Source organism: Homo sapiens, chromosome 10 (assembly GCF_000001405.40).
Source record: "Homo sapiens chromosome 10, GRCh38.p14 Primary Assembly".
Lineage (NCBI taxonomy): Eukaryota > Metazoa > Chordata > Mammalia > Primates > Hominidae > Homo > Homo sapiens.
In genome coordinates this window covers 70,133,643-70,146,814 of record NC_000010.11, presented here as the reverse complement: position 1 = coordinate 70,146,814, position 13,172 = coordinate 70,133,643, and the positions used below count along the sequence as shown (strand labels likewise).

Here is a 13,172-nt window from a genome sequence, read left to right as displayed (position 1 = left end):
AAAATCAGAATAGGAAGCCAATCAGAGCTCGGTACAAGCCCAGCCAATCGGGTCGGGTCAATTGGGGCTTAGCCAATCGGGCTCGATGAGGAAGACGTGAGTCAGAGCTTGCGCCTCTCGCTTCCAGCTGTGGGTGGCGCTAGGCAGCTTCAGCCGGACCGGGTAGGGGTCCTCGCTCGCTAGCTTGCTGTTTCTCGGAGAAGCTCCCGAGTGTCCGGCCTAGAGGCCATGAGAAGGCAGTGGGGGTCTGCCATGAGGGCGGCCGAGCAGGCGGGCTGCATGGTGAGCGCCTCCCGGGCCGGACAGCCCGAGGCGGGCCCGTGGAGCTGCAGCGGGGTAATCCTGAGCCGTAGCCCGGGCCTGGTGCTTTGCCACGGGGGCATCTTCGTCCCCTTCCTGCGAGCTGGCAGCGAAGTCCTGACCGCGGCCGGCGCCGTCTTCCTGCCTGGCGACAGTTGCAGGGACGACCTGCGCCTGCACGTGCAGTGGGCCCCAACGGCCGCGGGTCCCGGGGGCGGCGCGGAGCGGGGCCGCCCAGGGCTGTGCACGCCCCAGTGCGCGAGCCTCGAGCCCGGCCCACCTGCCCCGTCCCGCGGGCGTCCCCTGCAGCCCCGGCTTCCTGCTGAGCTGCTGCTGCTGCTGAGCTGCCCGGCCTTCTGGGCCCACTTCGCGCGCCTCTTCGGGGACGAGGCAGCGGAACAGTGGCGCTTCTCGAGCGCGGCGCGGGATGACGAAGTGTCGGAGGACGAGGAGGCGGATCAACTGAGAGCGCTGGGCTGGTTTGCGCTGCTGGGCGTGCGGCTAGGCCAGGAGGAGGTGGAGGAGGAGCGCGGGCCAGCCATGGCGGTGTCGCCTCTCGGGGCCGTGCCCAAGGGTGCGCCATTGCTGGTCTGCGGCTCCCCTTTCGGCGCCTTCTGCCCCGACATCTTTCTCAACACGCTGAGCTGCGGGGTGCTCAGCAACGTGGCCGGCCCACTGCTGCTTACCGACGCACGCTGCCTGCCCGGCACCGAGGGCGGCGGCGTGTTCACCGCGCGGCCCGCGGGGGCGCTGGTGGCGCTGGTGGTGGCGCCGCTCTGTTGGAAGGCCGGCGAATGGGTGGGCTTCACGCTGCTCTGCGCCGCCGCCCCCCTTTTCCGCGCCGCCCGCGACGCGCTTCACCGCCTGCCGCACAGCACCGCTGCCCTGGCCGCCCTTCTGCCGCCAGAGGTGGGCGTCCCGTGGGGTCTGCCCCTCCGAGACTCCGGGCCCCTGTGGGCAGCCGCGGCAGTGTTGGTGGAGTGCGGCACCGTATGGGGCTCCGGAGTGGCTGTGGCACCCCGCCTTGTAGTGACCTGTCGGCACGTGTCCCCTCGGGAAGCAGCCAGGGTCCTGGTGCGCTCCACCACCCCCAAGTAAGCCCGCAGGGCTGACGCCACTTCATCCCTTTCCAGGTCTCAGATCTGGGTCCAGCCCTAATACTCTTGAGTATTGTGCAGGCCTTTCTTGTGTCACGCGGATGCTTTGGGCGTGTAGTGGGTAGAGACCTGGAACCCTCCCCTCATCCTTTATACCCAGAACCCCTGTGGGGAGAATCTGGGGCAAGGTGTCAAGCTCGAAGCAGCTCTGGATTTGGGTACTGTGGGACACCCTGAATCCGGAACAGGGCATCTTTGAGCTCCCCTCAAAGGCTGAGTTTCTTCTGGGCAGCTTCACTGTCTGATAGCCCTGCACGCCATACCCCTCGGTTCTCTGGCCCTTTGAACAGAGATTCCCTAACCCTGCTGCTTCTCCTCTGAAAGTGATAAGGTCCCAGAGGCCCAGGATGGTGCTCTCCTGGGGTAAGGAGATGGGTATGTTAATTTTATCCATCTTTTAGTGCTTAGCCAGAGCTTCCCGTCTGAGTGAAACGTGAGTTTCTACGTAATCAGAAGGTAGGGGGGTGGCCCACGCAGCTGTACATGGTTCAGCCCAGCCTTGCAGCCCAGGCTTTTCCAAATCTCTTCCTGAATCCCCAAGCTTAGCCAGGTGTGGGTAACACTGCCCAGTTTTGCCATAGGTGTCCCCACTGTGGCCTATAGGACAGCCATGACTTTATAGGGAAGACTGATGATGAAGGTTTGCCTATGGTGTGTGGCCCCCACCAGATTCCTTCCACTCCCCCCACATGCCCCTTGCTCCTAAGGAGACTGCCAGGTCTGTTGGAAGCTACCCCTGCAGAGTGTGTAGTAGGACGCCCCTGTCTGATCCCGGGCAAGTCACTTAACCTGTCTAAGCTGCCTCCCCGGGAGTTGACGCTGAATGTCGTGGAACGGAGCCTGTCACGTCGTGTGCTACAGAAGTGTTAGCGTGTACGTAAATAGGGACCCAGAGGAGTGAAACCATGTCATATCTGACCCACCAACTGACGGGATTGTTGTGGGTATCAACGAGGCAGTGAAGGAAAGTGTTGTGTTTGCCTTGGCTCCTCCCACTTTGTTTGGTGTTGGGAATGTTACTGAGCGTCTCTGGGCCTCAGTTATACCACCTAAAATGGAGATAATGCCAGTGCCTAGTTTATAGGGTCGTGAAGACTAAATAAAGTGATGTCCACAAAACACTAACACCAAACCTGGCCCACAGTGCTCACTAAGTGTCAGGTTGATTATTCAGGTACAGGAAGCTTTAGAGAAGTAGCACAGTTTGTCAACCACCTTTGGAGATACCACAGAATGGTTACATGACTTGCCCAGAGTTGCCTGCTGGTCGATTCAGGGCTGATACCCAGATCTTCTGACTTTTACTGTCACTCTCAGCTCCTTGATTTCTCCCAAGTACTGAGGAGTCAGAAAGCTAGCCTGTCATTTGTTTCCCTTGCTCCCAGGAGTGTGGCCATCTGGGGCCGTGTGGTATTTGCCACTCAGGAGACATGTCCCTATGACATAGCAGTGGTGAGCCTGGAGGAGGACCTGGATGATGTCCCCATCCCTGTGCCCGCTGAGCACTTCCATGAAGGTAAAGGACGAAGGGCGCAGCCTGAAGGAGGGCCCCTCTGAGCTAGGGTGGGCCTCAGGAAGGAGAATCAGTGTTGGGCATTCTCATGAAGTCAGGGTAGCATTGGTCAAGGTCCTTGGAGGCCTGCCTCCCTTTTTGTGCTGGTGGGGCACATGGAGTGCCCTGGGAAGGATAATGCTGCACGCCCTTTCCCCGAGTGCCTGCAGCAATGTAGTGTGAGGATGCTGGGCCTTTGGGGTTCCTTAACACTTCAGGCTGGTCAGAGAGGCATGTGGCACTTTCAAGGCTCCAGGGGCACGATTTGGGTAAAAGGCTTTGTGATGCTGCCACATAAGTACTGATGTTGCACTCCATGGAGGCAGTGTGATACAGTGATGAAGGGTCCAGGGGCTCTGGATGGGCATCTTTCCTATGCCACCTATTAGTCCCATGTCCTTGGACAGGCTAGTTAACTATCCTCTGCCTCATTTTCCACGTCTTTGAAATGGGGCTAATGCATCCTATTTCTGGGTGTTGTGAGGGCTGGGTGTGACGTTGCCTGTAAAGCACTTACCCCCATACCCTGCACTTGGAAAAGGAAGGTCATGGCTGCATTATAGCCATCATCACCATTTCTTTTCACGAAGAGACTTCTTAGGAGTTCCAGGAGGAGATGGGTGTGAATTCCACAAACATTTATTGAGCATGTAGGTAGGTGTTAGGAACTCCTAAAAGTCACTGCCCCGCCTGTCCAGGGAACAAGGACTAGGGAACAGCCTGTTGCTCAGAAGTGGTCATGCAGATACAGTGCTAGGAGCTCAGTGGAGTTCTCAGCCTCTTCCAGCCAGGGGACATGGGGAAGGCTCTCTGGAGGCAGGAGTATCTGAGCAGAAACTTGAAGGGTGGAGAGGTTTGGAATGTTTGGAGAGGGTAGGGATGGGAGTTAGGGAGTGTGAGTCCTGCTGTAACACAGGTGTCCCCAGCTTCACCCTCCTTCCTTCCCTGGCAGGCGAGGCTGTGAGTGTGGTGGGCTTTGGCGTCTTTGGCCAGTCTTGCGGGCCCTCGGTGACCTCAGGCATCCTTTCGGCTGTGGTGCAGGTGAATGGCACGCCCGTAATGCTGCAGACCACGTGTGCTGTGCACAGCGGCTCCAGTGGGGGACCCCTCTTCTCCAACCACTCAGGAAACCTCCTTGGTAACCAGCTCTTTGGCCCCCTCCCGCCCTCCCACTTGCCAGAACCTCAGTCCCACCCCATGAGTGCTTGTGGCCAGCCCCAGTGCACCCTCTGTCTGGGAAAATGGTGGGCATTATGAGTGAGCTAGCGAAGGTTTGCAGGCTGTTCTCCTGATGGTGGAGAGGGACGGATGCTGGACTGGGAGGAAAGAGATCTGGGCTCTGGTCCCTTCTCTGCTACTAATCTAATCTGGTTTGATCTGTGAAATTGAGGAGTTGGATTAGTCAAAGCGTCACAGACTCAAAAGCCAACAGAGGCTGGAAAGATAAAGCAAATGAATGAGAAGACAACAGGGAGGGGAGGGGAGGGGTCTAAACTGAAGCGCACTCGACTCAGCTGCTGCAGACTGTGGCCATGAAGGAGGATGGGCCTAACGTTGGCTGGTATTCTAATATTTTCACAAGACATGTAAAGCTTTTTTAAAAAAATACATGTGGCCGTTAAATCGATCAATTTTTAAATTTTGGTAACATTCAGGTTTTTAAAAAACAGTCTGTTTAGCTGTCAAAAAGAAAAAAACATGAGTTCATCTAGAAACCTCCAACTCCAGTCCAGTCTAACTCTCCTTGTTTCTTCTTTCTCCTGTAGTGAAAAACCTTGCTCTTGTTGTCTACAATATGTTTACTTATCTGTTCCATCCTAGTATACAAGTAAAATTGTATTTGCATAACTTTAGTATATTTCCTCTAAATATTTAGTACTTACAAAGAGGAAATATTGGAGCCGTAAGTAATATTTAGAGCCATAAGTCTAGGCCTGGTGTGGTAGCTCGTGCCAGTAATCCCAACACTTCCGGAGGCTGAGGCAAGAGGATCACTTGAAATGGGAGTTCGAGACCAGCCTGGGCAACATAGTGAGACTCTGCCTCTATTTTTATTTAAAAAAATTTTTTTTAATTAAAAAAAAAGAAAGGAAAATACTAAGTCTACCTTGGAGAGGCCTGGCAGATACCACCTCAGCCAAGTGATCAAGGTGAACGTCAGAAGTACTCCATACAGACATCAGATAGCTGAGACACTGGGAAGGACACATGGCTTTTATGGTATTCTTCCCAATAATGTGTAACCTTAAACAATTAAAAGTAATGGCAAAACAATTAAAAGTAATGACAAAAACCGCATTCATTTTTGCACCAACCCAATAGTCATGAGAAAACATTAGGTAGGCCTCAATTGAGGGTCATTCTCTAAAATCACTGACCTGAGCCAGACATGGTGGTATGTGCCTGTAGTCCTGGCTCTGCAGGAATCTGAAGTGGGAAGATCACTTGAGCCCAGGAGTTCAAGGCTGCAGTGAACTATGGTCACCATTACACTTTAGCCTGTGTGACAGAGCGAGACCCATCTCAAAAAAATAAACAGTGTTTATTTAAAAAAAAAAAAAAAAAAGCCAGGTATGGTGGCTCGCACTTGTAATTCTAGCACTTTTGGAGGCCAGGGCGGGAGGATTGCTTGAGTCTGGGAGTTCAAGACCAAGCTGGACAACCATAGTGAGGCCCCATCTCTACAAAATATTTTAGGGAGGCTGAGGCGGGAGAATCACTTGAGCCCAGGAGGTTGAGGTTGCAGTGAGCTATAATCCCACCACTGCACTCTAGCATGGGTGACAGAGCGAGACCTTGCCTCTAAAAAAACAAAAACAAGAACAAAAAAAAAAACTGTAAATAAATAAAATAACCTGCACTTTTAAAAATGTCAAGGCCACGAAAGATAAGGAAAGACTGAGGAACTGACCCAGATTGGAGGAGATTTGGGAGATGCGACAACTAAATGGAATATGGAGTCCTAGACTGGATATTGGAACTGAAAAAGGACATTAGTGGAAAAACTAGTGCAACTCATGTCAATGAGTTCTGTAGTTCACTTAATAACAGTATTCTACCAAGGTATATGTTTTGGTTTTGATAAATATTTTTTGGTGACATTAGATACGAACATAAAGGAAAGCTGGTCAAAGGGTATATAGAATTCTGCAATATTTAGGCAAGACTTCTGTATGTCTGAAATTATCTTTAAAAAACTACACACACATCCATGCACCGAGCAGGCCAAACAAAATATGTCTGTGGGTCTGATTCATTCATTCATTCATTCATTCATTCATTCATTCATTCATTCATTCAACAAGCCTTTGTTGCGCGCCTACTTGGCACAAGGCACTGTTTCAGGTACTGGGGAGACTGCATGAACAAAACCTCAAAGTCCTGCCCTTATGGAGCTGACACTAGGTCGAGAGAAAGATAACAAGTGAAATAAGTGAACTATCTAGTGTGTTAGATTTTGAGAGTGTTAAGGAGAAAACGTAAAGCCAGGAAAGGGTGTGGGCAGCAGGTGTTCATGTCTAGAAGCTCAGCGTCTGTCACCACGTGGGGTGGTATCCAGCCCTACCAGGCCCTGGGGGCTCCAGGGTGGAGATGGTCCTCCTCCCTTCTCCAGCCTTTCTGCCCCCTGGCTCACATCCTCTTTTGCTCTCTGACTCCTCAACAGGCATAATCACCAGCAACACCCGGGACAATAATACGGGGGCCACCTACCCCCACCTGAACTTCAGCATTCCCATCACGGTGCTCCAGCCGGCCCTGCAGCAGTACAGCCAGACCCAAGACCTAGGTGGCCTCCGTGAGCTGGACCGCGCTGCTGAGCCAGTCAGGGTGGTGTGGCGGTTGCAGCGGCCCCTGGCAGAGGCCCCGCGGAGCAAGCTCTGAGGCTGTGTTACCACCTTTGGAAAGAAGAGTGACCTTTTTCTGCTGTAGGAAGTGATGTTGAGGTGACGGTGGCCTCAGGATTCAGGGCCCAGCCCCTGCAGGGGCCCAGGCTGCCTCTCATCTCCACCCACTGACTGCAGACTGGGCTTTGGGCTCTGGGGCAAACTTCTCTTCAGCCCCATGGATCCTTAACCTGGCAGCCCGTTTTGGGGTGCTTTCTTGAGCCCCCAGTTCTCTGTCCCCTAGCACTAGACTCAGCTGTATTGTTTTTCCTTCTGGGGAGCCCACTCCAACTGCACAGAAGTTCTGGGCCTGACAGGTAGATTCCAGCTGGAAGGCAGGCCCGTGCCTGGTTTTGCGTCTGTTCCCCTGAGGGCCATCGTCATCCTGGAGCTTCAATGGGGCCTTGGCTCCTGTCTGCCTCTCAGTCAGAGTCAGGGCTGACAAAGGACTCAGCTTCCTTAGCATCTCAGCAGAAACCTTGCTCTGAAGACCAGAGACAGAAGGGACAGAAACAGGAGTGCCTCCTGCTGTGCCAGGCCCATGGGCAGTGCAGGCAGATCCCTGAAGGTCAGCACTCCTGGGTCTTCATATGCCAACAGGGGCGCTCTTGACACTGTGCCTTCATTTTCCAGCCCACAGCCTGGGTCTCAGGGATCTTGAGGGGTAGAACATGTCTGGTTGGGGCTTGGGAATAAACATGATCTATTGAAAAACCTCTGTATTTATATATCAAATTGTTTCTTTTTTTCAGGAGTTGAACTGGGAATAGGCAAGTACCAGGCAAAGAAACACACCCTTTCCTTTTTTTTTTTTTTTTTTCTTTAGAGCTGTGGTCTTGCTCTCTCACCCAGGCTGGAGTGCAGTGTTGCGATCACAGCTCACTGCAGCCTCAAACTCCTGGGCTCCAGGAGACCTCCTGCCTCAGCCTCCTGAATAGCTGGGACTACAGTCGCGCACCACCACGCCTGGCTAATTTTTTATTTTTGTAGAAATGGGGTATTGCTTTGTTGCCCGTGCTGGCTTCAGCCTTCTGGTTTCAAGCAGTCCTCCTGCCTCAGCTTCCCAAAGTGCTGGGATTACAGGTGTGAGCCACTGTGCCCAACCCAGAAATACACCCTTTCTGTGCTGTTTTCTCAGCAGGGTGTGAGCTCACGGGATACGGTCCTGCCAGACTGGCCCTCATAGCTGGTCATGTGCCAGTCAGAGCTGGGTGGGGCTTGCAGGTCCCGGAAGGTGGTGGTCTTGACCTGGCAGCAGATGCTTAAAGAATGCCTAAGGTGGGTGGCAGTTGGGGAGTTCAAGGGTGAATGAGGCCAGGGCAGCCCCCAGGAGCTGAGGCCAACTCTTTGAGTCAGGACTGTGCCGTGTGCCCAGGGCCTTGCATGTGTGGGCCCTCGAGTGATTTCTACTGGCAGGCTGAAAGCCCTGTGAGGGGCGGCTGTGGGCGGAGGCCACGCAGGAAGAGTGCTTAGGAGTAACTTGTTTCTAACACCTGTGTGCTGAGTGCCAATGCTGGGTGTGGTGTTATGATATATATTGGTTTTCATCCAGCATTCCTGACTCGTAACTCTCATAGTCCTTGTTCCAGTCTTTGTTAGAATACTGGGTATGTTAGGGCTTGGGACAGGCCTCTGACCTCTGGGTATCCTTTCACTAATGTTCGCCCACCTTTTTCACAGTGGGTCCTAAAGACCTTCCCATGAGAGGGTCTCAATCCTAGGGGAAGGAATGTTGATGTCATGAACCTTCCATAAAAACCCAAGAGGACAGGGTTCAGAGAGCTTCTGGATAGCTGAACACCTGGCACTTCCTGGAGTGTGGCGTGCCCAGGGAGGGCACGGAAGCTCTGCACTCCTTCCCCTTCCCTCATTCCTTGCTCTATGTGCATCTCTTCATCTGTATCCTTTGCGATATCCTTTATAATAAACCGGTAAACATAAGTAAGTGTGTCTCTGAGCTCTGTGATCCACTCTAGCAAATTAATTGAACCCAAAAAGGAGGTCGTGGGAACTCAACTTGAAGCCAGTTGGTCAGAAGTTCTGGAGGCCTAGACTTGTGCCTGGTGTGGTTGAGGGGGGCAGTCTTGGAGACTGAACCCTCAACCTGTGGGGTCTGACAATGTCTCTGGGTAGATAGTGTTGGAACTGAATTAGAGGACACCCGGCTGATGTCCACTGCTTTTGGTGGGGAAACCCCACACACATTTGGTCACTGAAGTCTTCTGTGTTGATGATTGTGATGGCATGAGAGTAGAGGGAAAACACGATTTGAGGAGAGTTTTTCCTAAAACACGGGGCAATCACAGAACACTCCTGGGATGGTTGTTCCTCCCTTTACAGATTAGGAATGGGTCCAGAGGTCATGGCTAGTTTAAGAGAAGTTCTACAGTAAGTTAATGGTAGCAGAATCCTAGATCTGAGGTCTGACTTTGCTGTGAGAGGGAGTTGCGGTGGGCGGGGAGGAGGGTTTATTCTTGCACGTGTGGGTACTGATATGGTTTGGGTGTGTCCCCACCCAAATTTTATCTTGAATTGTAACTCCCACAATTCCCACGTGTCATGGGAGGAACTTGTTGGGAGGTAATTGAATCGTGGGGCTGGGTCTTTCCTGTGCTGTTCTTGTGACCGTAATAAGTCTCACTGATCTGATGGTTTTAAAAGTGGGAGTTTCCCTGCACCAGCCCTCTCTTTCTTTGCTTGCCGCCATCCATGTAAGACGTGATCTGCTCCTCCTTGCCTTCCGCCATGATTGGGAGGCCTCCCTAGCCATGTGGAACTGTAAGTCCATTAATTCTCTTTTTCATCCCAGTCTCAGGTATGTCTTTATCAGCAGCGTGAAAACGGACTAATACAGGCATCAAGGCACCCACAGGCTACTCTGGGGAGACTGATGTGTCAGCCCATTAGTGCAATAAGCAGGGAAGCTCTGTCCAGGGAAGAGTATGTCTGGGGGCCCAGAAGGGGTGGGTTAGGTAAGGCTTCAAGGTGATTCAGGCTCTGAACCATGAAAAGAGAGTTCAGAGTTTACCAAGTGGACTGGAAACAGAGTGTTCCAGGCTGAGAGTGGCAGGAGCTGGGACAAGGAAGTGTGGCACAGCTTCCTTGTGGAGAGAAAATTGGAAAAGTGCAAGACAGGCCCAGGGACCAGTTACAGTGGCTTGGTGAGAGAGAAGATGGCTGAGGCAGGACTGGTGGTGGTGAGATCAAGTGACAACACAGGAGGTAGAACTGATGAGCTCCCTAATTTGAGACCAGGTGCTGTATCTCACGCATGTAATCCCAGCACTTTGGGAGGCTTGAACCCAGGAGTTTGAGACCAGCCTAGGCAACATAGCAAGACCCTGTTTCTTCAAACACACACACACACACACACACACACACACACACACACACAAATTAGCCAGGTATGGTGGTGCACACCTGTGGTCCCAGCTACTTGGGAGGCTGAGGCAGGAGGATGGCTTGAGCATGGGAGTTCGAGGCTGCAGTGAGCTATGATCATGCCACTGCACTCCAGCCTGGGTGACAGAGGGAGACCCTGTTTCTAAAAAAGAAAAACAAAGATCTAATTTGGGACCATGAGTGGCACTCACTTGCCATGTCCTGTTAGCCTGGTCCCTGGATGCCTGTGTGAAGGGAGACAGCCTCATAAACCAGTCCACTGGCCTGGAACTCATGCCCTAGCAAGAAGTGCACTTCTGTTGTATTTGAGCCATTACATTTGGAATCTATTGGTCATTGCAGCAGAACTTACCTTCATTAATATAGCCTCTCCCTAGCTGGGAACACTATACCAAATCATGTGTTGGGGGAGAGAGGAAGAAACGAGGATATTCCTCTCTTCTTTGAAGCTTACAAATTTCGTTGGAACTACGTATGGAAAAGGAGAACATTTACCAGGCTCTTCAGATCTAAGAGTTGCCTGTTCTTCGAGTGGGCATACTGCCTCTGTTTCTCTGGGCTCCTGAGATGACCCAGTACCTTGGAGCTCCTCCAGCCCTGGGAGCCAGCAGAAAAGCCACCTGTTGTCTGTAAGGAAGTACCCACAGGCCTGGCTGAGCTCATTACAGCAGAGAGCCAGCAACGCTTCCTCCTCTTAGATTCCGTCATGTTAGACAATCTGCCTGCTCTCCCCACTAACCGTCAAAGTTCCATGGAATGAACTTGCCACTTTTTCAGGATCCTAACCACCGCACTTTCCTGCTACCTCTGGCACTTGGAATTTCAGAGACAAAACCCCTTTTTTAGGCAGCGAGCCCTGATTTTCAGTTCCAAAGCTATGGGCACTGCTGAGTGGGACCAGAGGAGTGGTGTGCAGTGAGCTACCTGGAGGGGTTGCATGAGACCATGTCCCCTCTCCTGGATGGAGGTGTCTTCTGGTTGCCAAGAAAGTATTGAGTGATAATCAGAAAAATTCCTTGATTTTCATGGTTTGTTGCTTTGTAGCAGGTCTTAAGGAAAAAAAAAAAGTTTTTCATGGTTTGGGACAGGTCCTTAGAGATGGGCCACACCAGCCCTGGCACACCTGAGCCCAGTGTTGGGCCACCTCACACCTCTCTCGCCTCTCTTCCAGCTTTATCTTTGTCCTGCTCTTTCTGGAGTCCTTTCCTTGCATCCTGCCAGCTGGCATCCCCTTCATCCTTGCACGCCTACCTTCTACACAAAGCCTTCCATGACCATCCCAAGCCTCAGGGCTGATTCCGTGCAGTGGGCAGGCTGTAGCCTCTCTGTTCACCTCTCTGTGTCACATCTTACTGGGTACATGCCCAGTAAATTCCCCACAACTGAGATTCTGCTTTGCCTGAGCAGTGCCCTCTGGCTCCTTAGGGATGATGCTTGCTGAGGGGTTTCCTGGCTTTAAGGTCATGGTTCAGGCTGGGCTCAGTGGCTCACACCTGTAATCCCAGCACTTTGGGAGGCCGAGGTGGGCAGATCACTTGAGGCCAGGAGTTTGAGACTAGCCTGGCCAACATGGTGAAACCCCGTTTCTACTATAGCCGGGTGTGGTGGCAGGTGCCTGTAATTCCAGCTGCTTGGGAGGCTGAGGCATGAGAATCGCTTGAGCCTGGAAGGTGGAGGCTTCAGTGAGCCGAGAGCATGCCACTGCACTCCAGCCTAAGCGACAGAGCCAGATTCGTCCCCCTACCCCCCAAAAAGGGGTCATGGTTCAGACCTCCATTGTAGGCCCACCCCCTTGCTTTACTAGCTGAGGGACCTTGCCTAAATTCTTTAGCCTCTAGGAGCCTAAATTTCCTTATCTGCAAAATGGAGATTAATAAAACTTACCTTGCAGGACCTTTGTGAAAAAAACAAAAACAAACAAAAAAACTTGAGAAGTCATTCAAAGCACTTAGTTCGTGATCAATAAATATTAGCTTATTGTTTTTCTAAGACGATGAGTAGGATTTTTCATCAAAAATAAATCATTCTGGTTGCCTTGGGCAAAATAATCTGCAATATAAAATATCTATAATAAATGGCTGCTGTGTATTCATTGCTACTGTGTGCCAGGCACCATGTTAAAACACTTTATAAAAATGATCTCATTGAGGCCTTTCCACAACTCTTTTTTTCTTTTTTTAGAGATGGAGTTTCGCTCTTGTTGCCCAGGCTGGAGTGCAATGGCATGACCTCCGCTCACTGCAACCTCTGCCTTCCTGGTTCAAGTGAATCTCCTGCCTCAGCCTCCTGAGTAGTTGGGACTACAGGCATGTGCCACCATGCCAGGCTAATTTTTTGTAGAGACAGTGTTTTACCATGTTTGCCAGGCTGGTCTCGAACTCCTGACCTCAGGTGATCCACCCACCTCGGCCTCCCAAAGTGCTCGGATTACAGACGTGAGCCACCGTGCCTGGCCCTTATCCACAACTCTTAAAGTAGGTGCTAATATTTGCAGTAAGTAGATGGAGATGGCTTATCTTTCGCTGAGTTAGCTTGGTCTGATTTGAGCTGGCAATACACTGCCTTCCAGGTCATTGTCCTGCCTGTGGGTCTTTGCACATCCAGACCACACTTCCTTCCTCTTTACCTAAATCTACCTCTTTCTCATCCTTGGAGAGAAGTATTTGCACCCTTCCTTTGCCCTCAGTCTTTCTTTTTTATTTTTTCATTTCATTTCATTTATTATTATTATTATTATTATTTTTTTTTTGAGACAGAATCTCACAGTCACCTAGGCTGGAGTGCAGTGGAATGATCATGGTTCACTGTAGCCTCAAACTCCTGGGCTCAAGCAATCCTCCCACCTCAGCTTCCCGAGAAGCTGGGACTACAGGTGTG

General features: G+C 51.7%; 1 protein-coding gene across 10 annotated transcripts, besides 4 other annotated features; it reads left to right on the top strand.

Moving 5' to 3' along the window:
* The first annotated feature begins 114 nt into the window (after positions 1–114).
* Positions 115–8,834, top strand: TYSND1 (trypsin like peroxisomal matrix peptidase 1). Of its 10 annotated transcripts, none has more exons than NR_073591.2 (4): positions 115–162; positions 2,843–2,973; positions 4,051–4,147; positions 6,674–8,834. NR_073591.2 is itself a non-coding variant. In NM_173555.4 (4 exons), the coding sequence occupies exons 1-4, from the start codon at positions 229–231 to the stop codon at positions 6,889–6,891; spliced, it is 1,701 nt and encodes a 566-aa protein (NP_775826.2). In that variant the 5' UTR covers positions 115–228; the 3' UTR covers positions 6,892–8,834. The 10 variants fall into 10 exon arrangements, 2 of the variants coding, with proteins under 2 accessions (NP_775826.2, NP_001035363.1); NR_073593.2 differs by lacking the exon at positions 4,051–4,147 and adding an exon at positions 3,962–4,050; NR_073582.2 differs by having other exon boundaries at positions 3,962–4,147.
* Positions 344–653: a silencer, noted in NCBI's record as "silent region_2441". NCBI's record gives its function as "represses an Ori minimal core promoter by ATAC-STARR-seq in GM12878 lymphoblastoid cells {active_cell/tissue: GM12878}" and the evidence as "EXISTENCE:reporter gene assay evidence [ECO:0000049][PMID:35858748]".
* Positions 804–853: an enhancer, noted in NCBI's record as "active region_3496". NCBI's record gives its function as "activates an Ori minimal core promoter by ATAC-STARR-seq in GM12878 lymphoblastoid cells {active_cell/tissue: GM12878}" and the evidence as "EXISTENCE:reporter gene assay evidence [ECO:0000049][PMID:35858748]".
* Positions 984–1,213: a silencer, noted in NCBI's record as "silent region_2440". NCBI's record gives its function as "represses an Ori minimal core promoter by ATAC-STARR-seq in GM12878 lymphoblastoid cells {active_cell/tissue: GM12878}" and the evidence as "EXISTENCE:reporter gene assay evidence [ECO:0000049][PMID:35858748]".
* Positions 7,672–8,172: an enhancer, noted in NCBI's record as "H3K4me1 hESC enhancer chr10:71898399-71898899 (GRCh37/hg19 assembly coordinates)". NCBI's record gives its function as "activates a minimal SCP1, AML or CMV promoter by ChIP-STARR-seq in primed H9 embryonic stem cells {active_cell/tissue: H9 hESC(primed)}" and the evidence as "EXISTENCE:reporter gene assay evidence [ECO:0000049][PMID:30033119]".
* Positions 8,835–13,172: the final 4,338 nt, after the last annotated feature.